Consider the following 27,909-nt stretch of genomic DNA (forward strand, 5'->3'; position numbering starts at 1 on the left):
CGTGGGCAAATGCTGTTAAGAAATGGCACTGATAGACTTGTGTGAGGCAGGGTTGCTACAAGCCTTCTATTTGTTAAAAAGTGCAGTATCTGTGAAGCACAATAAAACAAGGTATGCCTATAATCTTTTCTTTAAAAGTATCCTGCTAGTGTAATCTCTTTAAGATACAAACATGAGTATAAAGCAGTTTATTAACTATTATGTGGATGTATACTCATGGGAGAGAGACATTGATTAGAAAATTTCACCAGTTTGAAAAATTGGTTTTTATTATTTATTTATTTATTTTATTTATTTATTTATTTATTTATTTTTTTGAGACAGAGTCTCGCTCTGTCGCCCATGCTGGAGTGCAGTGGCACAATCTTGGCTTACTGCAAGCTCCGCTTCCCGGGTTCATGCCATCCTCCTGCCTCAACCTCCTGAGTAGCTGGGACTACAGGCACATGCCGCCACGCCTGGCTAATTTTTTGTATTTTTAGAGAGACGGGGTTTCACCGTGTTAGCCAGGATGCTCTCGATCTCCTGACCTTGTGATCCGCCAGCCTCAGCCTCCCAAAGCGTTGGGATTACAGGCGTGAGCCACTGCGCCCGGCCGAAAAATTGGTTTTTAATATGGTTTCCACTTGAACTGTCTGGTAAACTACTATAGAGTGAGTGGTTTGGTGGGATTAGGGTTGGAGTGGTAAGGAGCCTTAATCATTAGGGTTTTAATCTTCAATGCCTTTGTTACTAGTGCTTAGAAATTAAATTATTTAGATATGGTAATGTTATATTTTATATAACTGTGCTAGAATATGCACTGTGTAGTGTAAAATGTATGTTTACTTTTAAAAGATACTAATTTTTGACAATGTTAAATGTAATACAGTATTTTTTAAAGAATATTTTGAAAATACAGATAATTCTAGAAAAGAAAAATCTCGTATAATCCCTCCTGTAGAGATAATGAATGCTAATCATTTGATGTTTTCCTTTTAGTCTTTGAAACATACTAATTCTCATAACAGTTCTATGAAGTAGGTGCTGTTAATTCCACTTCATAGAAAATAATTTAAGGATCAAAGCAATTTTTAAGTGTCTCCCAGAAAATTAAAGTTTTTAAACTTAAATTCCAGTGTTATTTCCCTACAGTATAATTGCCTCTGTTTTATTTAGTTATTTTAGCTCACAGAAAGGAAAAAGAAATGAATTATACCATGGCTTATGTTATTTTTTTCTTATTTTTAGAGACATTTTAAATCCAAAGGATGTGATCAGTGCCCAGTTTGAAAACACCACCACTAGTAAAGATTTTTGCAGTCAGTCATGTTTGTCAACATATGAACTGAAAAAAAAACCTATTGTTACCATAAATACAAATAGTATTTCAACCAAATGCAGCATGTGTCAGAAGAATGCTGTTGTAAGTTACCATTTTCCTTTATTGGGGCAGGAGTCTAATACGTTTGTGCTTAAAGAACAGCTTTTGATGCTCTCTGCTCCTTGTTTTTGTGTTGCTGTTATTTAATTTCTAGATTCGACATGAAGTTAATTACCAGAATGTGGTCCATAAACTTTGCAGTGATGCCTGCTTCTCTAAGTTTCGTTCTGCTAACAACCTCACCATGAACTGTTGTGAGAACTGTGGGGGTTACTGTTACAGTGGGTCGGGACAATGCCACATGCTTCAGATAGAGGGACAGTCTAAGAAGTTTTGTAGTTCATCGTGTATCACGGCATACAAGCAGGTACATGACCATATTTAATCTTGATGTCTTTGTTCAGTTCAGGTAATCTGTATTTTTAGTCAGAATTATTTATGAAAATGTTGTTTTGCAATATTGGGTTTACTGGCCAAGTGCCATGGCTCACACCTGTAATCCCAGCACTTTGGGAGGCTGAGGCGGGCAGATCACCTGAGGTTGGGAATTCGAGACCAGCCTGACCAACATGGAGAAACCCCATCTCTACTAAAAATACAAAAATTAGCCAGGTGTGGTGGCACATCCCTGTAATCCCAGCTACTCGGGAGGCTGAGGCAGGAGAATTGCTTGAACTCGGGAGGTGGAGGTTGCAGTGAGCCAAGATCGTACCATTGCACTCCAGCCTGGGCAACAAGAGTGAAACTCCGTCTCAAAAAAAAAAAAACAAAAATGTATATATACACACATACACACACACACACACACACACACACACACACGTATATATACGTATATATGTATGTATATGTATATATATGTAAATATGTATGTGTATATATATGTATATATACATATAGAGAGAGTTTACTATTTGTTTTAACTGGTATTCTTTATACATAAGTAGTATTTGTTGAATAAATGTGCATTAAATATTCATACAGAGTTCTATAAGTAGCAGTTTTATTCATGCATTTGTTTATACACGTTTATGCATTTGAAATACAAGTTTTTAGAGTGTGGCTTTTTTTTTTTTTGAGATGGAGCCTTGCACTGTCTCCCAGGCTGGAGTGTGATCCCGGCTCACTGCAACCTCCACCTCCCTGGTTCAAGCGATTCTCCTGCCTCAGCCTCCCAAGTAGCTAGGATTACAGGCGCCCACCACCAGGCCTGGCTAATTTTTTTGTATTTTTATTAGAGATGGGATTTCACTATACTGGCCAGGCTGGTATCAAACTCCTGACCTCAAGTGATCCACCTGCCTCGGCCTCCCAATCCCTGTGCTGGGATTACAGGTGCGAGCCACCACGCCCGGCCAGTATGGCTTTTTTATTTCAAAAGTGATTTGTATTCTTTAACAATATTTTGAAAGTTAAAAAAAAACATGAAGAAATGCAGTGTATCTCTCACAGATAACAAATCCTGTCATTTTGGTGTATAGCCTTCTAATCTTTCCAGCATGTGAGATTTGCATATATACTTCTTATTTGACAAGGAAAGGTTCAAGTTGCATATGTAGTGTTGAAATCTGATTCACAGAATTAAAATTGCAAACCAGATAATCAAAATTATATCATTAATTGTTACAGTAAGGGATTTTTCTTATCTTTATGAAATAGGAAGAAATAGATGTGGATTATATATTTGTGAATTGATGAGGTGTGCACGGGATGAACTGGATGAACTCTATAACAAATGTCTTTTATGTAGTTTTGTGTGTATTAGATTTGTATTTTATTAGTGAATTTTGATCAAATATTAGTTTTAAAATTGATAAACCTAAAGGAATAGTAAATGCTATATATATTTCTAATTTTTAATTTTTGTGGGTCCATAGTAGGTGTATATATTTATGGGGTAAGTACTTTTAATATTTTTAATTTTATAATGTCTTTTATGTAAGTGCATTTGCTAATCATTCTTTTCCTTAGAATAGTAAGTTTTTGTACAGTTTACCAAAATTGGTGAATTTAATAGCGTTGATTAGGAACATTCTTGTTAATTGTTCTTAAAACCTTGTAGTAATTTTGGAATTTAAGCGTGTTTCAATTTATTTCCTGTTAATGTGAAAACACACTATAATGGCTAAGTTTTACTATTCATTCCTTATTTTTGTTCTCAAAGAAAAAAAAAATCCCCACATCTTCATTGTTTTGTCATTTTCCAAAAGACTGTTCTTTTCCTGATACTGTATCAGGTACTAAAAGTTACCTGGATTCAGTCCATTGAAAGATGAGTGATAGTCCACAAGAGAGGGAGAAATAGGATGAAACATCTTAATTTTAAATTTATTCTTTACTTTTAATTTAGTCAAAACCTATTAAATTTTTCATGTATTATATCTGCTGTGGTAGAGAAAGAACTGGAATTTAGAAGTAAGGCAGATCTACATTTAATTCTAGACCTTATGTTCAAATACAGTTTTACCTTGGGGAAAGCAGTTAAGCTCCCTGAGTCCCAGTTTTTCTGTCTGTAAATAACTATGATACCACCTATGTCACTGGGATGTTTTTAGGATTATAGAAAGTAAGAATGAAAGAATGCCTAGTATGTAACTGAGGCATTGTAGATGGTCATTTCTGCTACCTTCCTTTCTTCCTTATATATAATTCATTCAACAAACATTAGATATAATTTCTGTTTTGAGGGGCTGCCTGTCTCCTGAGAAAGATAAGACGTATAAATGAGTAAATAGAGATGCTATGATGGAAGTATTATGGGTACAGTGGGCCACAGAGGTAGCATAGTGAGCTCTACTTGATAGGGAAAGATGAGACTATCAGCAGAAGCTTCACAGAGGTAACTCTTGATCTGGGTCTTACAAATGAGGTTTGCTTTTACAGTCCTCATTAGGGAGGAGAGGGAAATGGGGTTAGAGATTTAGAAGACATTCCAGAATTCAGGCATATATTCACTTTACTGTGTATTTATTTTAATATCAAGTTTTACAAATTGATTCTTTAAGAAGGAAGATTGCTCTTAAAATCTCCTAATTGGTGCTGGACGTACTTTAAAAATTATCCTGAATGTGTGACATGTTAATAATACTTAGCATTATTTGCTGCTGAATCCCTAATTGGGTGAAGACTTAAGATAACGGACTCTGGTTGTTTGTATTTGGACACCTGTGATGATATCCCAGGTTTGCTCTTACTTTACGCTTATGGAGTATTTTTTTTATTATTAGTGGTAGAATATTTGCCAATAAGTTGCCTAATAAGGTTACTAATTTCCTTAAATTCATATTTACAAGCACCTTTGGAGGGGGTTATTTCAATTTATAGGATGATATAGTATAAAAGCATGAACTTGCTGTTATTTAATGTTTTTAAAACTGTGGTTATGACCTATTAATAGACCCTGAAATTAATTACTAGGTTATAACCAGCATTATTATTTTTTTCTTTTTCTTTTTTTTTTTTTTTTTTGAGGTGGAATCTTCTCATTCTGTCGCCAGGCTGGAGTGCAGTGGCACGATCTCAGCTCGCTGCAAGCTCTGCCTCCTGGTTCACGCCATTCTCCTGCCTCAGCCTCCTGAATAGCTGGGACTACAGGCGCCTGCCACTATGCCTGGCTAATTTTTTTTGTATTTTTGTAGAGGCAGGGTTTCACCATGTTGACCTTGCTGGTCTTGAACTCCTGACCTCAGGTGATCCACCCACCTCGGCCTCCCGATGTGCTGGGATTATAGGGGTGAGCCACTACGCCTGGCCGCATTACTTTTTCAATGAAATAGAATAGATTGGAAAATATCAAAGTGCATTACATGTTATCATGATATTTATTCCTCTATAAAACTTTTTAGTTTTATTACATACATGCATCATACACAAATGCAAAATCTCAGAAGTACATGTGTACCATGAAACTTCCTATTGAGGATTACAATCATAAAAGTTTGAAAATCACTGATTTCAAATATTTCAAAAGTGTTGAGTATAAACATTTCGAAGAATTATGCTTTTACTAGGAATTTGTTAAAAATGAATGTTGTTTTATTCTCTTAATAGAAATCAGCCAAAATTACACCGTGTGCGCTTTGCAAATCATTGAGATCCTCAGCAGAAATGATTGAAAATACCAATAGCTTGGGGAAGACAGAGCTTTTCTGTTCTGTTAATTGCTTATCTGCTTACAGAGTTAAAATGGTTACTTCTGCAGGTAATATTGGTTTCACAAACTATGAAATGCAATGGTTGAAAAATAATGGTTATTGCTTTGTTTTTAACGGTTTTTTTTGGTTGATTTTTAAGGCACATTTAACATATTTCAGATATTTGTTGTAAAATATCACCTGTTACCTTGATTGCTTATTTATTTACTTGCATACCTATTTATGCATTTCCCCCTTACCAAAAGAATTTCATATGGCTTCTTTAATATATTTTCTTTTTCCCTACCTAATTTCTTTGAAGTTTCATTTATCTGGTAGTTTCAGGGTAGACTTTGACCAATTTAAATTGGAAAGAAACATTTTCAGTATTATGTTAGTTTTTGTCTATATGTGACATGATTTAGTTTCAGTTCCTACAACTTACCCTGGCTCTTAAATTTTCTTATATTGTATAGTATTATTTAATTTCTCATACTTTTGTGTACATTTGTACATATTACTCATTGGTTTTTATTTTGATTTGCTAAGGTGTACAAGTTCAGTGTAACAGTTGTAAAACCTCAGCAATTCCTCAGTATCACCTAGCCATGTCAGATGGAAGTATACGCAACTTCTGCAGCTACAGCTGTGTGGTAGCTTTCCAGGTATGGCTTCAGGAACCTTCCTCTTCTTCAGTCAGTGAGTCACCTACTGTATGAGTCTGTTCTTGCACTCCTCTAAAGAAATACCCTAGACTGGGTAATTTATAAAGAAAGAGGTTTAATTGGCTCACAGTTCCACAGGCTGTACAGGTAGCATGGCTGGAGAGGCCTCAGGAAACTTTCAATTATGGCGGAAGGCGAAGGGGAAGCCGGCACGTCTTACATGATGGGCTCAAGAGGAAGAGAGAGAAGCGGGAGGTGCTACACTTTTAAACAACCAGATAGTGAGAACTCACTATCACCAGAACAGCAGGGGAGAAATCCACCCCCATGATCCAGTCACTTCCTGCCAGGCTCCTCCCCCAACATTGGGGATTACCGACTGGACATGAGATTTGGGCAGGGACACGAATTCAAACCTATCACCTACTATAGTAATGCACATTTATTAGGTGTTTGCTAGGGCCTGGGTTGTATAAGTTTCTATATCATTCCTATTAAACTTGGATTTGTAGTTCATTCTGTATTTGGAATTTAATTTAACTGCCTTCTATAAAATTGAATGGTACTTTTATCACCCATATTATCTATTGGGAGGATATTATTTTTGAGGAAGATTATTAGTTAAGTTATTTTATTTTTTCATCATAAATGAGACTCCCCCCATTCCGTAATAAGCTGCTCAGAGGCAGGAACATTGCCTGTTAACAGATGTACCTTACATGCCTAGAACGGTGCTTGGCATATGTAGGCACACAATACTTCTTTGTTTTAACAAAGATTAAATTGATACTTTTTGTTGTTTTGTTTTTCCAGAATTTATTCAACAAACCAACTGGAATGAATTCTTCAGTAGTGCCCTTGTCTCAGGGCCAAGTAATTGTAAGCATCCCCACAGGTTCCACAGTGTCAGCCGGAGGAGGTAGCACATCTGCTGTTTCTCCCACCTCCATCAGTAGCTCTGCTGCAGCTGGTCTCCAGCGTCTCGCTGCCCAGTCCCAGCATGTTGGGTTTGCACGAAGTGTTGTGAAACTCAAATGTCAACACTGTAACCGTCTTTTTGCCACAAAACCAGAACTTCTTGACTATAAGGTAAAGTATAGCATGTTCATGATAAGATTTTGAGTATACGTGGGTCTATTTGTAAAATTATTTTTAACTTTGCATCTCTCAAAATCATACCATTTGTTTTGAAAGTAAGGGAGATAAGGAGTTCCATAAGACAAACCAAATGTTTAATTAGTACTTAATGATTATTTCTTTGCAGGGCAAAATGTTTCAGTTCTGTGGCAAGAATTGTTCTGATGAATATAAGAAAATAAATAATGTAATGGCAATGTGTGAATATTGTAAAATTGAGAAAATTGTAAAGGAGACTGTTCGGTTCTCAGGTGCTGACAAGTCATTCTGTAGTGAAGGTAAAGACAGAAGATTATCTTACCTACTGAGCATGTTGGTTGTTTTAAAGCAGTTGATGATGATTTAAGCTTTCACTGTCTAAGTTAATCTGTTTTATTGTTTATGTATAACGTAAATGCCTTTTCGATTCATTTACACTTAGTTCATTCTTTTTTGATCTAGTTTTCTTATATTATGTAGCTGTTAAAATGAAGTGAAAGATTTGCAAAGTATAATGCAGAAGAAGATGATGTGAAAAACATTTAACATCCTTAGGTTCCCCATTATTAGGTTGATCGGGACCTCAAAGAGCTTCTAGTTCGTGTACTTATTTCTAAATGGGATGCCTTAAATTATGGTAACATTCTAAGTTTATACTTTTATTGTCTTAAACAGCCATTATATTTCTGAATATAAATGGCTTGAATATGCAAATTAATATGTGGAAGATTGTTTTCCTTAGATAACTCTTCTATATGTTTATAATGTTTTATTTTACTCTAAAGCTGTATTAGCCTTCTAGAGCAAGGGCTTTCAAACCTTTTGATAACACCAAAGAAGAAATACATTTACACTGTGACCCAGTATATTTTCACATACCTAAATAAAAGTTTTTTTTGTTTTTGTTTTTGTTTTTTGAGACAGAGTCTTGCTTTGTCACCCAGGCTGGAATGCCATGGAGCGATCTTGGCTCACTGCAACCTCTGCCTCCTGGGTTCAAGCGATTCTCCTGCCTCAACCTCCCGAGTAGCTGGGACTACAGGCACCCGCCACCACACCTGGCTAATTTTTGTATTTTTAGTAGAGACAGGGCTTCACCATGTTGGCCAGGCTGGTCTCCAACTCCTGACCTCAGGTGATCCACCCACTTTGGCCTCCCAGAGTGCTGGGATTACAGGTGTGAGCCACTACGCCCAGCCCCAAAAGTTTCATGAAATAAAATCGATGCAGTTTAATATTTTCTCTTCTGTGCTATCCTGTCTTATATCATTTAAAACAAAAACAAAAACAAAGCAAAACAAAAACTAGTATAGATACTCTAAAAAATCAAGATACTCTGTGAACTGGTCAGGACCCAAGTGTGAAAACTTTGTCCTAGACCACTTATTTTTCTTTTTTTTGTTTTTGTTTTTATTTGACATGGGGTCTTGCCATGTTGCCCAGGCTGGTCTCAAACTCCTGGGCTCAAGCACTCCTCCCGCCAGCCTCCCAAAGTGTTGGGATTACAGGTGTGAGCCACTGCACCGGGCCTGTCCTAGGCCATTTAAAGTTGCAGAAAACTAATACTTCTACCTAATGTTAATTTTATCTTTCCTGATTTTTAGGTTGCAAATTGCTTTATAAACATGACTTGGCAAAACGCTGGGGAAATCACTGTAAAATGTGCAGTTATTGTTTACAGACATCTCCCAAATTGGTACAGAATAATTTAGGAGGGAAAGTGGAAGAGTTCTGTTGTGAAGAATGCATGTCCAAATATACAGTTTTGTTCTATCAGGTAAATAGAATTCACATTCCTGGGTTTTTCATTCTAGGGCATAAATTATTCCCTTTTAAAATTTCATGTCACATAAAGGACAATTTAATTATTTAAAACTTTTAAGTATTAAATGTTTTATGCCTTCTAGCAATTAATATAAGATTTAGAAAGACTTTAATGTTATTGAAGTTTTCTTTTGTTTTTAATTTCCTGTAGGAGACATATCAGTCTTAAGACATTAAAATATTTAAACTTATAATTTTATTCACTTATTATTTAAATAAAGTGAATTTGTCTTCTGAAGTCTGAGGAAGATAGACCTTATTTTTATTTCACTTTGTTTTTTAATTGCTATAGAGTGAAGTCTGTATGTTACATGTGTTTTTTAAAAAAAATTAGTATAAAATCAGCTGGGCGCGGTGGCTCACGCCTGTAATCCCAGCACTTTGGGAGGCCGAGGCGGGTGGATCATGAGGTTAGGAGATCGAGACCATCCTGGCTAACATGGTGAAACCCCGTCTCTACTAAAAATACAAAAAAATTAGCTGGGTGTGGTGGCGGGCGCCTGTAGTCCCAGCTACCTGGGAGGCTGAGGCAGGAGAATTGCATGAACCCAGGAGGTGGAGCTTGCAGTGAGCTGAGATCACGCCACTGCACTCCAGCCTGGGCGATAGAGCAAGGCTCTGTCTCAAAAAAAAAAAAAAATATATATATATATGTGTGTGTGTGTGTGTGTGTGTGTGTATAATCATTGATAAAGACAAACTAATTTTTTGATCTAAATTCTAAGTTAATTTCGTCACTTGTTATGTGTGTCTTATTTTTATTTTGTCAGACCACAGATAATTTGTTTCTTACTCCTTGACTACCTTCTTCTTTTTAGATGGCCAAATGTGATGCTTGTAAGCGACAGGGTAAACTCAGTGAGTCCTTGAAATGGCGAGGGGAAATGAAACATTTCTGTAACCTGCTTTGTATCTTGATGTTCTGTAATCAGCAAAGTGTATGTGACCCGCCTTCACAAAATAATGCAGGTAAAATTAACCTTAGGTACTGAATGGAGTCTTTGGTCAATACTAGGAACTACTGTTCTTTTACAGATCAGGAACTGTGTAAACAGTTGTCATTAATTTCATGAAACCTCAGTTTCCTTGTATTCTGTATCAATAACATTTAGCTTTTTTTGTTGAACACCTTATTTCACTGTCGTCCGTGTGAAGAGACCACCAAACAGGCTTTGTGTGAGCAACAAGGCTGTTTATTTCACCTGGGTGCAGGCGGTCTGAGTCTGAAAAGAGTCAGTGAAGGGAGATGGGGTGGGGCCGTTTTATAAGATTTGGGTAGGTAAAGGAAAAAGGGGGGTTGTTCTCTGGCGAGCAGGAGTGGGGGTCACAAAGTGCTCAGTGGGGGAGCTTTTTGAGCCAGGATGAGCCAGGAAAAGGAATTTCACAAGGTAATGTCATCAGTTAAGGCAGGAACAGGCCATTTTCACTTCTTTTGTGTTGGAATGTCATCAGTTAAGGCAGGAACCGGCCATCTGGATGTGTACCTGCAGGTCAGAGGGGATATGATGGCTTAGCTTGGGCTCAGAGGCCTGACACCTTAGATTAAAGCTGAGTAAAAATGAGTTTTTGATTAAATAGATTTCTTTGAGAATATTGAATCAAATAAACTCTGTAAGAACTTAAATTTATGGGAAAGGATAACAGTTAATGGTTTGTAATTGAGTATAATTGGCTTCCTTAAAAAATCCTTTGAGACTACTTATAACAAAAGACATAAAGTCAAAATCACATGGCCTTTTAAATATACCATGTGCAGGCCAGATGTGATGGTTCATGCCTGTAATCCCACCGCCTTTGGAATGCTGAGGTGGGAGGACGGCTTGAGGCCAGGAGTTCAGGGGTGGAGTGAGCGGTGACCACAGCACAGCAATCCCAGCTGGATGATATAGTGAGACCCTGCCTCTAAAAAATTAAAATAAAATAAAACTATATGTCGTGGGCGTGACTAGTTGGGGCCAGTGTCACGGGCTGTAAAGGAATTTACCAAGACAGTCATAGGTAAAGGCAGATTTATTGGAGAAAGTGTGAAAATATGTTGCAAGGTTGCAGTGAGCAGCACAGCAGAGAAGGGGAAGTCTGCAAAGACGCAGCGGCTTGAGGGACGTTTTACATGGTCCTGCTGGAGGGGACTGCTTGCAGAATGTAGCCGTGCTCCTGGGGCTACCTGTAGGAGGTCATCTCTCAGAGTAATTACTCATTGTTCTCCCCCACCTGGGCCCCTTCCTCTTTGTTGCTTACTTACCTTGTCAGGACTTACTTATCTTATCAGGACTACACACTATGTGCTAGGCCACTTTATCTCAGAAAATTTATTATTTAAAAACAACACTAGTATCATCCTGAAAGCTAGAAGAATTTAAGTGTAGTCTCCTTACAAATAAAAGCAAAATCTACAAGAGCCTACTCCAAAACTTAAAAAAAAATTATTTCTATATAAAGGCAAGATTTAAGAAAAACATTAGGCTGAATTGTCCATTAAATCTAACCTGTGATCTTCATTGGTATTGTGTGTTTGAGGATTTGCATTGTTGGTTTTTAAGTTGGTTTTTAAGTTAGACTATTTGTTGCCTTTTTTATGTAAAGATAAAGTTAATAGAAAACTTTCAAGTTTTACTAATTAAAAAGTAGAAAACCAGGGTATGGTGGCTCATGCCTGTAATCTCAGCACTTTGGGAGGCTGAGGCAGGCGGATCACGAGGTCAGGAGTTTGAGACCATCCTGGCCAACATGGTGAAACCCCGTCTCTACTAAAATACAAAAAATTAGCTGGGTGTGGTGCTGCGCACCTGTAGTCCCAGCTACTTGGGAGGCTGAGGCAGGGGAATCGCTTGAACCCGGGAGGTGGAGGTCGCTGTGAGCTGATATCGTGCCACTGCACTCCAGCCTGGGCAGCAGAGTGAGACTCTGTCTCAAAAAGAAAAAAAAAAAGAAGAAAACCAAAACCCAGTTAATCCTAAAGTGACTTTTTGCTCCAACAGAAATTACTCAAACCTGAAAACATTGTTTAACTTCCTTGAAATGGTTTCTGTGTAAGTACATATAAATCACGTGAGGTTTCCTTATTTTTGTTTATTTTAATCAGCAAATATTTCCATGGTTCAAGCTGCTTCAGCAGGACCCCCATCTCTGAGAAAAGATTCGACTCCAGTTATAGCCAATGTAGTATCATTGGCAAGTGCCCCTGCTGCTCAGCCTACAGTGAATTCTAACAGTGTCTTACAAGGTATGGCTTGATTGGAAAGCATTTATCTAGCCTATTTAGGTTGAATGCAGTGGTCCCCTAACTTCCTTTCATCAGGGATTATTTTCATACATTTGACACATTCAATATTAGGAATAGTGGCTTGCTGCACAAGTTTCATATCTCATACTTTAGAATTGCTAGTTTCTTCCGTTGAATTAAAAAAACACATGTTCTTAGTATGAGGGTTTGTGTTTATGTACTGATAATCAGCTTTTAATGCTAATGTTAAAATAATTGTAAAGATCCTAAATTTATGTTTTAATTTATATCAAGGTGCAGTTCCAACAGTAACAGCGAAAATCATCGGTGATGTAAGTTTTATTACTTTTATTGGTATTGTCACTGTATTTATTTTTCATTTTCATACAGTATAAATATGTGTGAACTAATTTGCCCTCCTTCTTTATTATATGAAATAGATTTCATTAGCTCATTTAATCTTTGTTCAGGAATAGGATTTTCTGGCTATTTAAATAGGTCTTTTATGTACTTTAATATCTTTGAATGCTGGCTATGTAGTTACTGAAAGTTTTTCTTTAATTACACAAAATTGAAGTAAATTGTACAGGATTTAGGCCTGAAAGACTTTTGGATGTTTTGTGATGTACTCAGATTATAAATAAAATGTTTATACAATGTAGCTTATCCTCCCTCTGACCCATTACAGATTATACTGTAAAAAAAAATTCTTTTTTTAACCCATTAATATTTTCTGCTTTGTCTCTTAAAAGAAGAAAATAAATAATGAGAAAAACTTCTGACTGGAACAGTGGCATTTCTAAGGTGTTTCTCCAGGTTTCTGGGATAACTTTCACGTTGTCTTTATTCAAGTTACTTAAATGATCATAAGTGATTCTGTTATTCCTAGTTATCTTGAATCTCTCAAGTCCTCTGTGTCTTAATCAGGAAGTAAGAATTCTCATTTTAAACTTAGCCAGCATTGTTATTGATCAGCAGTGTGTTACAATAGAAATAGCATTTTTCTTGGTAAATAGAAATTGTGATTAGAGACATGCAGAGTAATATATAGTTATTAAAACATTCCTTGATTACTATTAATATTTTAGGAGTATTGTATTTCTTATACATTTGGTTGAATATTTACTTGCTATGTCCTCCATGTAATTCCAATATGACATTTCCTTTAATATTATAATATTTCTTATAATTACAATGAGATTTTTAAAAATGTTTTTGGTTTCTAATTTGTTTTTTTACTAGGCAAGTACTCAAACAGATGCCCTGAAACTGCCACCTTCCCAACCTCCAAGGCTTTTGAAGAACAAAGCTTTATTATGCAAACCCATCACACAGACTAAAGCCACCTCTTGCAAACCACATACCCAAAACAAAGAATGCCAGACAGGTATGTTCCTTGGTCTTTCTTTCTTTATTAATTTTTTAAGGGAAAGAAATGTAGGATCTACTTACATTGAGTACCTGCTATTTCCTAGGTGATGTGTTTGGTTGTTTGTATACATTGCCCAATTTAGTTCTCACAGCATCCCCGTGAGTTAGGTATTTTCCGCATCTGAGGCTTAACAAGTTGGGTCAAAGAGAAGGAAGTTAATCAGTGATACCATACTGTGAGCAAGTCATTTAATTCTCTTATTAATGACAATGTAATATTATAGAATAAGCATAAGGTTTGGAATTACATGGACAGGCTTCTAAGGAGGTGCTATTGTTTTCCAGTGTGACCTTAGGTTTGAACTACTCCACAGTCTCTTGGCTACTCCACACTGTTTCAAATGAAGTCAGTTCCTTTGAGGAGAGCTTCAGAGCTTTCTTTTTTTTTTTTTTTTTTTTTTTTTTTTTTATGAACTGCCTCTCCCCCTAGGCAGAATCTCTGAGCCACCTCTATGGATGCTGGGCAGGGTAGTAGTCTCTGGCCTTCTTGGCTTGCCTCCCCTGGCATGGAACTTCTGCCCTACAAGTGAGCTGGGGTGAGGGTGATCAGGATCCCAGTGTTCTTGGCCTGCTTTTCCTAGGGTAGAGCCTCCATCCAGTGGATGGAAACTGGGTGAAGGGAAGCCCCTGACCTCTTGCCCGTACTCACCAGGAATTTAGCCTCTTCAGCTTTCAGTTGGAGCGGATGAGAAATGCTTGTGGCCTCCCTTTCTTGATGAGATACAGTAACACTTGATTGGGAGCTGAGTGGAGAGAAGCCCATTTTTATTGGCCACAGCTACCCATAGTGGAGTTTCTGTCAAGCTGAGCTGAATTGAGCTGGGGGGATAAAGCCTGTGATGGCTGAAATGTCACAGACTTTCACTGTTCTTACCAAATTTGAACAGATTGTCTTGAATAAATGTTTCTTCATTTGGTATATGCCTTTAGGACAATTTCCCAAGAATTTAAATGGCTGTTTTTAAATAGTTTCACTTTCTTTGCTTGTTTCACTAAGGAATAGATCTTTGTAGCTCCTCATGCTGCCATCCAAAAGTCCTAGAATTTTGGCCGATTGCAGTGGCTCACACCTGTAATCCCAGCAGTTTGGGAGGCTGAGGCAGGAGGATCACTTGAGCCCAAGAGTTCAAGACCAGCACGGGCAACATAGCGAGACCATCTCTACTAAAAAATTTTTAAAAGTCCCAGAATTTTTAAACTAGAAGGAAATTCTTGATTTCTAGAGCTGCAAGGCTATCCTGTCAGCCATTGCTTCTCAAAGATTAATATGCACATGAATTATCCAGGAATTTTACTAAGTAGATTCTTATTCAGTGAGGCCTGAGATTTTGCATTTCTTATAAGCTCCCAGGTAAAGTCAGTGCTTCTGGTTCATGGACCACACCAAAATAGCAAGGCTCTAAATGATTTAGTTCTTTTTTTTTTTTTTTAATCAATAGCAGTTTATTTAGTATTATGTAGTTTGGTTATCAGATGTTTCTAAATCAAGTAACAATTTTTTAATGTCCGCTGTATTATGTAAAGTTTGTTGGCCAAATGTGGTGCCTCATGCCTATACTCCCAGCACTTTGGACAGCTGAGGCGGGAGGATCACTTGAGCCCAGGAGTTCAAGACCAGCCTGGGCAACATGGTGGGACCCCCATCTGTTAAAAAAAAAAATTTATGCCATATTATTTTCCCACTTCTAACTCTAGTCAAATTGTTAGCTCTTCTCTTTCTGTCCCTAGTATTACCTTTCTCCTAGATTAATGATTTTACACTTATCTAGCATATTCTCTGACACATAGAAAGGACTCTATATGCTCCTTGACTTATAATGTTGTACCCATCATATGTTAAAAAAATCATGAGTCAGAAATGCATTTAATATGCCCAACCTCCAGAACATCATCATAACTGGGCCTAGGCTATTTTAAACATGCCCAGAACATTTACATTAGCCTACAGTTGGGCAAAGTCATCTAACACAAAGTTTATTTTATAATAAAGTTTTGAATACCATGTAATTCATTCAGTGCTATACAGAAGTATGGTATATACTTGTTTTTGCACCATCATAAAGTTGGAAAATCCTGTATTGAACCATCGTTAAGTTGGGGACCGTCTGGTTAAATAATGGAATAAATCATCCATCTTGCTACTTTCTCCAAGTTTTTTTCCAAGTTCTGTTTCATCCTTTTAATACTTAGAACATCTGCTATATATATTTATTCTTTTTTGTAGGTATCATAACCTAGAGTAGTCTCCCATCATCTTAGCTCTACATATTATAATTGCCTCCTATTTTAACAGTTGATATATTTTTTATTCAGTGCTGAAATTGTTGCCAAATTAATCTTTTTTGATGTCATTTTCATCACTACTTTGTGTTAAAAAAATCTTCAGTAGCTACAAATGATTTTGAAATGTGCATTATAGCATGATGGAAATGGCCCCTCCCTATTCAGCCTCCTCTTTAGCAAGTGGTTTTCCATGCCTGTCTTCTAGGTTCCCTGTTTCAATCCTTTCAATTTATCCATCTAAATTATATCCTGCATTCATTTTCTCCTCACATCACTGATATTTGTTACCCACTTTTTGTCAGTGCTATACTCAAGATTTATTTTTTTGGCTACTTTAGTTATTTCTCCTTTGTAAGAAGTCCTGTAGTGTCATAGGTTACTCTTATTTTGAACTATAAACCTCCATAAGCTTTTTTATTTTGAAATCTTATGAAAGCATTTCTAACCCTCTTTGCTTTTTGTGATTTTGTTGTTGTTACTGTTAGAAGACACTCCAAGTCAGCCCCAGATTATTGTGGTGCCAGTTCCCGTACCAGTGTTTGTTCCCATACCTCTTCACCTTTATACTCAATATGCTCCAGTCCCATTTGGAATTCCAGTTCCAGTGAGTAATCATTTAGAGATTAAAGCTAATATAGCATGCATTTTCCTCAATTAAAACTGTATAGTTCTGTGAAGAAAGTTTTCATTTGTTAGTAAAATATACCTGCTTCTGATTGGCTGTTATCATATTCCCATTATTACTTAACATGGATTATATAAATGACTGCTTTTATTTGTACCCTTCCTTCTCAGAAAAGGTTATGATGTAGCTTTTTAAAAAACTTACATGCACAATAAGACCACTCAAATAGAAAAAGATCAGAAATGGTGTATGTTGAAATCCTGGATTCTAGCAAGGGTGAAAAGAGTACTGTGATTTATATAATTCTCATTTTTGATTAAAGAAAAATGTATTTTTTAATTACAAATTTATTTTTCCCAGGTACTGAGTCCTTAAAGGAAACAGTTATGAGAAAATTGTGAGAAATACAAGCAAAAACAACAAAAACAAAATGCAAGTGTATTATAGAATTATTCTTTTAGAGGATTCAGAGACATAATTGGTTGAGTGTCCAAAGCACTTATTGAAATTTTATTTAAATGGCTCTAGTCTTATAAAAACAAACTAGCAAGACTATTTTAATCATCAGCAATGAATATACCTTAAATTTGTTTACTATTTTAATACCTAAATCATCTCACAAATCATACTTTTGGCTACAAACCTGTTGCCAAAGAAAGCCTTCAGTCTATCCTTGGTCTTTCAGATGCCTGTCCCTATGCTTATTCCATCTTCAATGGATAGTGAAGATAAAGTCACAGAGAGTATTGAAGACATTAAAGAAAAGCTTCCCACACATCCATTTGAAGCTGATCTCCTTGAGATGGCAGAAATGATTGCAGAAGATGAAGAGAAGAAGACTCTATCTCAGGGAGGTTGGTATACTCTTTAAAAGTAAAGAAAGAAAAAACACGTTTTACACATTTTCAGGTGACTCAAGTAATTTTAAGTATAAGACAGGGTGTTTCTAAAACCTTTATTGTCTGTGAATACCAAGCCTGTGGGGTTGATTACACTTTTTAGTGCTTCTGAAAGCTCTTATTGTTTTTATGAAGGAAAACCAAGTATTGGTATTCAATAGTTTTTAGTTATGATTCCAGAAAAATAACTTAGAAATCAAGATTTCATGATCATTTTCCAATTCCATCTCTGTAATCAAAGCCATGGTCCCCACATAAGAATTCCTGTTATATAATAACCAGCATGCTGGTAGAGGGTAAATAGAACCTTAGGATGGAAAACCATTTGGCTCAAAATAACTGATAGATAGATCTCATACTACTAGTGTGGAATCATGATAAAAACAATAGTTAACGTTTTGTGTGCTTGCCATACTCTAGGCATTGTGCTCAGTGCATTGTGTGCCTTGCCTGATTCAATCTTCATGACAGCCTTATGGGGTGGGGAGGGGGTACTATGTATCTCAAATTTCTGATCTGGAAAGTAGGATGTTAGACTTGCCTTGGTTATGCAGTCCAGAAGTGGCGGAACCAGAACTTGAATCCAGATACATCTGACTCCAAAGCACATGATACTAACCAGAATCCCCATTAACAGTGGTAATCTGTTTAACTGCATTTATCCCTAATGTCTAATTTTGTTAATGAATTATTCTTTCTGCATATGAAATCTATTTACTTAGAACTTTGTAGTATGATTGATGTATATAGTGCAGTCATTTCATTTGAGATATAATTTGTTGTCTAAACATAAATTATTTATGTGCTTTTCTTTTTCTTTAGAGTCCCAAACTTCTGAACACGAACTCTTTCTAGACACCAAGATATTTGAAAAAGGTTTGTAGTTGAAAATATGTTTTGATTTTTAGAAATACTACCCTCTGTTAGAAACCTATAAAATATTAGTACCCTTGGATTTCATATTTGTAATTTTAACTATTTGTAAGGGGTATCAGATGTATATGAAGTGTACTAATTTGTAGTGAGAATAATAAAAGCCACTCAAATGTTTGTTTTAAAAATTAATTGAGATAATGCTTTCAATTGCCTACCAAAAATATGAATCCAGTTCTTTGAGACTGATGAACAAGTTACCTCATTCTTGAGTGTACCTAGGTAATTGTCCATCAACCGTATCTCATTTTTTGGTATTTAGGGGTTCAGGAAGTTTTCCGAGCATGTCAAGATGAGGCTATTTTATTTTGAGGGCTTAATTGTTATCTATATATTTCAGACCAAGGAAGTACATACAGTGGTGATCTTGAATCAGAGGCAGTATCTACTCCACATAGCTGGGAGGAAGAGCTGAATCACTATGCCTTAAAGTCAAATGCTGTGCAAGAGGCTGATTCAGAATTGAAGCAGTTCTCAAAAGGGGAAACTGAACAGGACCTGGAAGCAGATTTTCCATCAGGTTTGTGTACAGTAACCTGTCCACTGAAAGCTTTTTATTTTAAAAGATCGGTACAACTCTGAATTGACACTATTAAGCAGTGCCAATTGTTATTGATAATAACAGTGTAATGTGTTAGAGGTCATAATCTAGAGCACAAATAGACCCTGGCTTTGTAGGTGTTAATTCGTACCATATTGTTCTTATAAGTGGTTAATGTGGTTAAAATTTTTTTTAACCTTTCCCGTAGTAGCTATATAAGAGGTTTTCCTGATTGTTAATGAAGTTTTCATTTATGCACTATATCCTTGGTTTAAGTCTATAAGTGGAATCCTTATTTTATCACAAACAAACTAATGAATATAGTGATGATTACCTGATATTTCTTTACTAGTCTAAGTCTTTATTTAAATTTGTGAGTTATTTACCTCATGTTGTCCTTTCTGCTGATTATTATAGACTCCTTTGACCCACTTAATAAAGGACAGGGAATCCAGGCACGTTCCCGAACAAGACGACGACACAGAGATGGCTTCCCCCAACCCAGACGAAGAGTAAGCTGCAGCTTAACTTTTCTAGACTTTTCTTTCCTTCATTCTACAAGCATTATTTAGTTCCTGCTGCTTTCAAAACTCTGTAACAGCCAGAGTCAGGTAGTTCCACATGTTGTTTTGCAACTTTTGTTTTTTGAATTCAAGAACCATATATTTTATTTACATTTCTTTCAGTAGGAACTTTTTTTGTTTCTATAGTTAAGGGTTTTCTTTTATATTGCTTTGTTTACTTTAAAAAACTTTTTATAGTTATTTTTTATGCTTTATCTGTTTGAACAGCCTCTAAATTTAGCTCTTTTTACATGTTATAATACTGAGTACTTTGGGAGGCCAAGGCAGGCGGATCACAAGGTCAGGAGATCGAGACCATCCTGGCTAACATGGTGAAACCCCGTCTCTACTAAAAATACAACAAAATTAGCCAGGTGTGGTGGTGGGCGCCTGTAGTCCCAGCTACTCGGGAGGCTGAGGCAGGAGAATGGCCTGAACCCAGGAGGTGGAGCTTGCAGTGAGCTGAGATCAGGCCACTACACTCCAGCCTGGGTTACAGAGCAAGACTGTCTCAAAAAAAAAAAAAAAAAAGTAATAATAAATAAAAATAAAAAATACTGAGTAGTTCACTATTTTTTTTTTTTTTTTTTTTGAGACGGAGTTTCGCTCTGTCACCCAGGCTGGAGTGCAGTGGCGTGATCTCGGCTCACTGCAAGCTCCACCTCCTGGGTTCAGGCCATTCTCCTGCCTCAGCCTCCCAAGTAGCTGGGACTACAGGTGCCCGCCACCACGCCTGGCTAATTTTTATTGGTATTTTTTAGTAGAGACAGGGTTTCACCATGTTAGCCAGGATGGTCTCGATCTCCTGACCTCGTGATCCACCCGCCTTGGCCTCCCAAAGTGCTGGGATTACAGGCGTGAGCCACCGCGCCCGGCCAGTTCCCTATTTTTATAGTATAGTAAAATAGTGAAGTTCACATGGCTGTTTTTCACATTGACAGGGCTTTCCTATACAAAGTTGAAAGAATAATAGCTTTATTTTTAAAATTAGCCCTATTGTATAATTATATTAAAACATTTTTAAGTTCTGAGTGTACATTTTGATGGCCTTCAACTAATGTATATGTTATGTAATTCCCACCACAATCATGAACAATTCCACTTAGCAAGAAGTTCCACTATGACCTTTTGCAGTCAGCCCCTCTGGCTGCTGACAACCACTGATCTACTGTACCGATTGATGCAGAATGCCACTGCTTTGCCTTTTCTGAAATTTCACATGAATGGAATCCTATAATATGTAGTCTTCTGTGTTTAAGTTCTTTTACTTGGCATAATGTTTTTGAGATTCATCCATGTTATTTCATGTCCCAGTAGTTGATTCCTTTTTATTTCTGAGTAGTATTTCATTACATGGACAAACTACAATTTGTTCAGCTGTTTAACAGGTGATAAAAATTTGGGTTGTTTCCAGATTGGGGCTATTTTGAATAAAACTTACTCAAAATGTTATGAACATCTTAGTATCAATCTTTGTGTGAACATATGTTTTCATTTCTCTTGAGGAAAAAGATCTAGGAATGAGATTGCTAGGTTTTATGCTTATGTGTATTTTTAACTTTGTAAGAAAGCTGCCAGACTGTTTTCCAAAGGAGATGTACCATTTTGCAGTCCCACCAGCAATGTATGAGAGAGTTCCATCTGCTCCATGACTTTGCTAACACTTGGTATTGTTGATTTTTAATTTTAGCCATTCTAGTCAATGTATAGTGGTACCTCATTATGGTTTTAATTTGTTTTTCCCTAATGATTAATGATGTTAAGCATCTTTTCATATATGTATTTGCCATTCATGTGTCTTCTTTGGTAAAGTGTTTATTCACAGTTTTCGCACATTTTTTTCATTTTTTTGTTGGGTTGGTTGTTATCTTGCTGAGTTGTAAGTATTCTTTACTGTGGACATAATTTCTTTATCAAATCAACGTTTGGTCCTATTTTGTTACTTCCTTTTTATTTTCTTAATGATGAGTAGCAGATTTTGATTTTGAGGAAGTCCCTTTTATCAATTTGTTATTTTATGGATTGTGCTTTTTAATACCTCATCTAAAAATTTTTGCCTAACTCATAGTAACTAAGACATTCTCTTACATTTTCTTCTAGAAGTTTTATAGTTTTAACTTTTATGTTTGTGATCTATTTTGAGGTAATTTTTATATATGAGTTGAGACAAGGGTCAAGGTTCATTTTTTGAATATGGACATCCAGTTGTTCCAGCACTGCCCTTGAAAAAGACTATTCATTCCCCATTGAATTACATTGGCAACTCTGTTAAAAGTCAATCATATATGTATCTATCAGTCTGTTTCTGAAACTTTCTATTCTGTTCTATTGACTTATATGTCTATTTTTATACCAGTACCAACTGTCCTGATTACTGTGATTTTACAGTGAGCCTGGAAATTAAGAGTGTAAATCTTCCAGCTTTGTTCTTCTTAAACTTGTCATTTGCATGTCTATATACATTTTGGAATCAACTTGTCAATTTCTTTAAAAAAAAAAAAAAAAAAAAGGCTGCTAGAATTTCAGTTGGGGCTGTCCTGAATCCAGAGGGAGAGAATTGACATTTTAGGAATGTTGAGTCTTCTAATTTGGAAACATGGAATAGTCTGCATTACAAGTCTCATTATATTCTGTTAAGTTTATTTCATAAGTATTTAAGATATTTTGATGCTGTTGTAAATTGTATTATTTTTAAATTTCATTTTTCACTGAGCACAATGACTCACACCTATAATCCTAGTACTTTGGGAGGCTAAGGCAGAAGGATTGTTTGAGCCCAGGAGTTTGAGACCAGCCTGGGCAATGTAGTGAGACCCCATCTCTACTAAAAATTTTAAAAATTAGCTGGGCATGGTGACGCATGCTGGTGGTCCCAGCTACTTGGAGGGCTGAGCTGGGAGAATTGCTTGAGCCTAGGGGGGGTCGAGGCTGCAGTAAGCCCTGATCATGCCACTGCACTCTAGTCTGGGCGACAGAGCGAGACCCTGTCTCAAAAAAAAAGAAAAACAATTTCATTTTTCGTGTTCCTTACTAGTATATAGAAATATAGATAATTTTTTCTTCTATGATATTTATCTTAGAAATAAAAAAAAGAAATATAGGTAATTTTCATGTATTTACTTTGTGTCCTGTGACTTTGCTCAACTAAAATCCTTAGGATTTTCTACCTAGACAATCATATTATCTGTGAATAAAGACAGTTTTACTTTGTAATCTGAATGCATTTTCTTTCCTTCTTTTTCTTGTTTTATTGAACTAGCTAGTATCTTCAGTACAATGTTGAATATTAGTAGTGAGAGCAGACCTTTTTGCCTTATTCCTAACCTTACGGTGAAAAAAGTCTTGCAACAGAAAGTATGATGTTACCTGTAGGTTTCTCATAGGTGGTTTCTATCAGGTTGAAGAAGTTCCCCTTCTCCTTTTAATTTGCTGAAAGTTTTTTAAATCATGATTGGGTATTGAACTTCCTCAGGTGGATTTCTTGCATCTTTTGAGGTGATTATCTGGTTTTCCTTTTTTTAAGTCTGTTAAAATGGTGAAATACATTAATTTTTTCAAATGATTAACCTTCCATTCCTGGGATAAACCCTACTTTTTTCTGTATTTATTATTTTTTTGTGTTGCTGGATTTGGTTTGCTAATATTCTGCGAAGGTTTTTTGTTGTTGTTCTGTTTTGAGACAGAGTCTCACTCTGTTGCCCAGGCTCGAGTGCAATGGCGCGATCTCGGCTCACTGTAACCTCCACCTTCCAGGTTCAAGCAGTTCTCCTGCCTCAGCCTTCCAAGTAGCTGGGATTACAGGTGCCCACCACCATGCCTGGGTAATTTTTGTATTTTTAGTAGAGATGGGGTGTCACCATGTTGGCCAGGCTGGTCTTGAACTCCTGGCCTCAAGTGATCCACCCACCTCGCCCTCCCAAAGTGCTGGGATTACAGGTGTGAGCTGCCATGGCTGGCCCTATGAAGGTTTTGAGTGTCCCTGTTCAAGACATATTTATCTGTACTTTGTGACTGGTTTTGGTATCAGGGTAATGGTGACATTATAAAATTAGTTAATATTTCTTTTTCTTCTATTTGTATAATTTCTTTAACTATGATAGAATTTGTATAATTTCTTTAACTATGATAGAATTTGTATAATTTCTTTAACTATGATAGAATTTAACTATGATGGAATTTAATCCATCTGGGAATAGAGTTTTTGTGGGAGGGTTTTAAGCTATAAATGCTGTTTCTATGGCTATTTAGGTTATCTGTTTCTTCTAGAGTAAGCTTAATTAATCTTTCAAGAAGTTTGTCCATTTCATCTAAGTTGTTTAATTTATTGGCATGAGAGTCACAAGTGATCCACCTGCCTCAGCCTCCCAAAGTGTTGGGATTACAGGCATGAGCCACTGCACCCAGCCTGGGTTTTAATTTGGATTTCCTTTTCTGGTTTTTTGCTTGTTTGTTTTTAGACAGGGTCTCCACTCAGTCACCCAGGCTGGAGTGCAGTGGCGTAATCATGGCTCGCTGCAACCTCAACCTCCTGGGCTCAGGTGATCCTTAAACCTCAGTCTCCCAAGTAGCTGGGACTACAGATGTATGCCACCATGCCTGGCTAATTTTTTAATTTTTTGTAGAGACGGGGTCTTGCCATGTTGCCCAGGCTTATTTCGAACTCCTGGGCTCAGTCTGCCCACTTAGGCCTCCCAGAGTGCTGGCATTACAGGTATGGGCCATTGCACTTGGCCTTCCTTTTCTAGTTTCTTAATATAGAAGCTTAGGTTATAGATTATAGACTTTTTAAAAATTTTCTTATTGAAACATTTTAATACTACAAATGTCCCTTTAAGTACTGCTTTAGTTCCATCACAGAAATTTTGGTAAATTTTATTTTCATTTTCCTTTAAGTTCAAAATGTTTTGTGATTGCATGTGTCCTTTCTTCTTTGACCCATAGAGCTGTTTAATTTATGATTTTGGAGGATTTTTTTGGACATCTATGCATCATTGGTTTCTATTTTAATTTCATTGTAGTTAGATAATTTGTTGAGGCTTGTTTTATAGCACAGAATATGATCTGTTTACATGTTTCATTAAATAGACCTGAGTGGTAATAGTAGTTATTCATACCTCATCAGGTGAGTCTATATCTGGAACATAGTAAATACCCAAATGTTAGTGATTATTACAGTGTGCTCTTCTGCATTTAAACTTTTTCTTTCTTCCTTCCTCATATGGATTGGATTAAATAATCTCTAAAGCCCTTTCTTGCTCTAAGAACTCTGAATCTTTAGGATATAAAACTAAATTCTTTATTCTACAAATGTATACCCTTTCCAGCTTTGAGAACCCTGACTCTTAAAAATCCAAAACTAAATTTTATGTTCTGTAAATTTTTGGAATTCTTACAGGGACGGAAGAAGTCTATAGTGGCTGTGGAGCCCAGGAGTCTTATTCAAGGAGCCTTTCAAGGCTGCTCAGTGTCCGGGATGACACTGAAATACATGTATGGGGTAAATGCTTGGAAGAACTGGGTTCAGTGGAAAAATGCCAAGGAAGAGCAGGGGGATCTAAAATGTGGAGGTAAGTGCACAGCATGAATTGTATCTTGATTTAGGTAGGGGGAAATATACAGATAATCTACTGAAAAGGGATACATTTTAGGTCAAAAACCCCATAAAACTTTGGTTTGGGCTTTACTTAATTTTTTCCGCACTTTTATTTTATTTAAACTTTTCTTTTATGTTTCTCTCCTTGTCAGGGGTTGAACAGGCCTCATCTAGCCCACGTTCTGACCCCTTAGGAAGTACTCAAGACCATGCACTCTCTCAAGAATCCTCAGAGCCAGGCTGTAGAGGTAAAATTTGTTTCTCTCCATTTGGTATGAATTATTTATATTATTATTGCGGATTTAAATTTGTAAATTGAATATTTAAAATTATTTAAAATTTAGAGTATTAAGGTTAGAAAGAGAAATTAATCTTATCCCGTTTTAAGGAGGTTGTTATAAGGGTAAGGTTATGTCTTCTGCTCTTGAGTTTATTATGCAAATATACAGAATTTTGTTTTATTTTTGACACTGTGCAAGTGCCTCAAAATATGTCTTCTTGAGCCCTGCGTCTGTATAGTAATCCATGTGGAGCCCAGTTTTTTTTTTGTTTTTTTTTTTAAGAAAAATACCTGGAAAAGCCTTGCTTCTAATGTAGGAATTTTTCCTTACAGTGAGATCTATGTAACTGACAATGTTTGTGGGTTTCACTTCAGCTGCCAGGAAATTTGGTATTACATGAGCATTTCAAATAAAGCAACAGTGTATAATTTTAAGGCCCACATTAGTTTTCATTTTTCACTACTTTTGACACCCTATTCTAAATTTTTGTTTCACTTTATCTTTTGCTTTTAATTTGTGTTTTATGTAAAATACTTATACAATCTTTATGGAATGAGATGGGGCAGAATGGAGGAGTATATCCATGTAACTTGATTTTATTCCACTTTCCAACTATATCTTCTTTCTGTCTTAAACCTAGGTGATTGTATGCACTCTTGGCTTCACTCCAGTCTACCCTGTTGGTTTTGGGGCACATGTAACTGTCCTTATTGGAGCACTTAGTTGCTGCTGTGGGCAGTGACTAACTCATTGAGTTCCTATAGATGAAATGTAATCTGTCTGCTCCAAAGCTATGTAAATACACTCCTGTTGTGGAGATTTACTAGGCCATTAACTGCCTAGTAGCATGTTTTAAGTTAAAAGAGCAACCTGCTGGGTGCAGTGGCTCATACTTGTAATCCCAGCACTGTAGAAGGCTGAATCAGGAGGATCTCCTAAGCCCAAGAGTTCTGAGGCTGCAGTGAGCTATGATTGCACCACTGCACTCCAGCCTGAGCATCAGAGTGAGACCCTGTCTCTAAAAAAATAAAAATAAAACAAAAAGCCGGGGAAGGGTAATAGTGCAAATGGAGAGGTAATACTGCTTTAGACTACTAAGCCTAAATGCAGCTGTTACAGGGATGGCAACCCATTTCTACCACTCTTTCATTGAGAAATACTTACTGAATATCTCTCTTATATACCAGGTATGAAGCTAGGTACTAGGGTGAAAAAGTCAAACATGGTCGGTGCTCTCATGAGATACGGCTTGCTTTAACTAAAACCCAACTCACAGGAGCCCATGTGTATGTAATCTTATCTCAGTGCAGAAGAGCAATGACTAGAAAGGGTGTTTTAATCTTGGCCCCACAATGTGGATCAACATGTTGTAGTAGGACCTCTACAAATCAAATTGGATAACTCCCCTGCTCAAAATTAATTCAGCTCATTGTCTGCAAAATCTTAATATGAGAAATGAGGCTGATCATGATCTGCTCCCACCTGCCCTTCTTGCCTTGTCCTATACACCCAAGTCCCCTGAACCTTTGCAGCCTGTGACCTAGCAAAGGGAATACTGTATTCTAGCATTTCCAAAGGCAAGAGGGTGTTATTCATTATTTGAGGTGTTCTGTATTCAAATAAATATCAGCTGAAGAAAGTTAAACAGCTGGTCGGGTGTAGTGGCTTATACTTGTAATCCCAGCACTTTGGGAGGCCGAGGCGGGCGGATCACCAGAGGTTGGGAGTTTGAGACCAGCCTGACCAACATGGAGAAACCCCGTCTCTACTAAAAATACAAAATTATCTGGGCATGGTGGTGCACGGCTGACTCCCAGCTACTCAGGAGGCTGAGATAGGAGAATCACTTGAACCCGGCGGAGGTTGCAGTGAGCCGAGATTGTGCCATTGCACCCCAGCCTGGGCAATAAAAGCGAAATTCCATCTCAAAAAAAAAAAAAAAGAAAGAAAAGAAAAAGTTGAATAGCTTTCTTTTTTGCAAATATGCTCAGAGCCTTTAATGTACCATTAAGCACTGTGAATTCTTCAGAGACAAATATAGTATCTTGTGTTTTCTGAATATCAAATCTTAGAAACCCAGTGTTCTCCAGCTCTCACATAAGACTAGTATTTTGTGGACTCTACTTTGGGAAGCCTTTTTGTGTATCCTCAGATTGGAATTCTTTACCTATCTACCTGTTTAACTCTTCCTCACCTTTTAAGGTCTAGCTCCAGTATCACGTTTCCCAGAATCTAACCTGACTCTTCCCTGTTGGATAGCCCTCATTTGCTTTCACAGAATGCCATTTAAAGAAAGCCTCTATCATAGCACGTATTGCACCATATGCACTGGTCTTTATTTCCCTAACTGAAGTAGACTTGAGATCAGAATCTGTCTTTAATCCATATACCCACTAGTCTGCACCGCAGTGCCTGGAGCACAGTAGTGTTCAATGT

General features: G+C 36.8%; 1 protein-coding gene across 20 annotated transcripts in view, besides 4 other annotated features; it reads left to right on the forward strand.

Annotated features, from left to right (window-relative positions):
* Nucleotides 1–27,909, forward strand: part of ZMYM4 (zinc finger MYM-type containing 4) — a 153,350-nt gene that overhangs the window by 111,320 nt on the left and 14,121 nt on the right. For 17 of the 20 annotated variants that reach the window (XM_017002803.2, XM_024450838.2, XM_047434271.1 and 14 more), the window contains 18 exons: nt 1,231–1,405; nt 1,518–1,730; nt 5,414–5,564; nt 6,046–6,161; nt 6,975–7,250; nt 7,426–7,576; nt 8,882–9,054; nt 9,920–10,070; nt 12,184–12,324; nt 12,619–12,656; nt 13,567–13,711; nt 16,524–16,642; nt 17,349–17,517; nt 18,385–18,438; nt 18,836–19,015; nt 19,454–19,548; nt 24,995–25,166; nt 25,345–25,440. In XM_017002803.2, coding sequence (XP_016858292.1) covers nt 1,231–1,405; nt 1,518–1,730; nt 5,414–5,564; nt 6,046–6,161; nt 6,975–7,250; nt 7,426–7,576; nt 8,882–9,054; nt 9,920–10,070; nt 12,184–12,324; nt 12,619–12,656; nt 13,567–13,711; nt 16,524–16,642; nt 17,349–17,517; nt 18,385–18,438; nt 18,836–19,015; nt 19,454–19,548; nt 24,995–25,166; nt 25,345–25,440 — 2,615 coding nt within the window. Of the gene's footprint in view, nt 1–1,230; nt 1,406–1,517; nt 1,731–5,413; nt 5,565–6,045; nt 6,162–6,974; nt 7,251–7,425; nt 7,577–8,881; nt 9,055–9,919; nt 10,071–12,183; nt 12,325–12,618; nt 12,657–13,566; nt 13,712–16,523; nt 16,643–17,023; nt 17,096–17,348; nt 17,518–18,384; nt 18,439–18,835; nt 19,016–19,453; nt 19,549–24,994; nt 25,167–25,344; nt 25,441–27,909 lie in introns of those variants that run through there. The other 3 variants (XR_246305.5, XR_007064889.1, XR_007064890.1) reach the window with 2 other exon arrangements.
* Nucleotides 6,107–6,307: a silencer, noted in NCBI's record as "peak172 fragment used in MPRA reporter construct". NCBI's record gives its function as "represses an SCP1 promoter by STARR-seq MPRAs in K562 erythroleukemia cells {active_cell/tissue: K562}" and the evidence as "EXISTENCE:reporter gene assay evidence [ECO:0000049][PMID:32103011]".
* Nucleotides 9,902–10,521: an enhancer, noted in NCBI's record as "OCT4-NANOG-H3K27ac hESC enhancer chr1:35855531-35856150 (GRCh37/hg19 assembly coordinates)". NCBI's record gives its function as "activates a minimal SCP1, AML or CMV promoter by ChIP-STARR-seq in naive H9 embryonic stem cells {active_cell/tissue: H9 hESC(naive)}" and the evidence as "EXISTENCE:reporter gene assay evidence [ECO:0000049][PMID:30033119]".
* Nucleotides 10,522–11,139: an enhancer, noted in NCBI's record as "OCT4-NANOG-H3K27ac hESC enhancer chr1:35856151-35856768 (GRCh37/hg19 assembly coordinates)". NCBI's record gives its function as "activates a minimal SCP1, AML or CMV promoter by ChIP-STARR-seq in naive H9 embryonic stem cells {active_cell/tissue: H9 hESC(naive)}" and the evidence as "EXISTENCE:reporter gene assay evidence [ECO:0000049][PMID:30033119]".
* Nucleotides 10,720–11,014: a silencer, noted in NCBI's record as "tiled region #699; HepG2 Repressive non-DNase unmatched - State 15:Elon". NCBI's record gives its function as "represses a minimal TATA promoter and a strong SV40 promoter by Sharpr-MPRA in HepG2 cells {active_cell/tissue: HepG2}" and the evidence as "EXISTENCE:reporter gene assay evidence [ECO:0000049][PMID:27701403]".

Source organism: Homo sapiens, chromosome 1 (genome assembly GCF_000001405.40).
Source record: "Homo sapiens chromosome 1, GRCh38.p14 Primary Assembly".
NCBI lineage: Eukaryota > Metazoa > Chordata > Mammalia > Primates > Hominidae > Homo > Homo sapiens.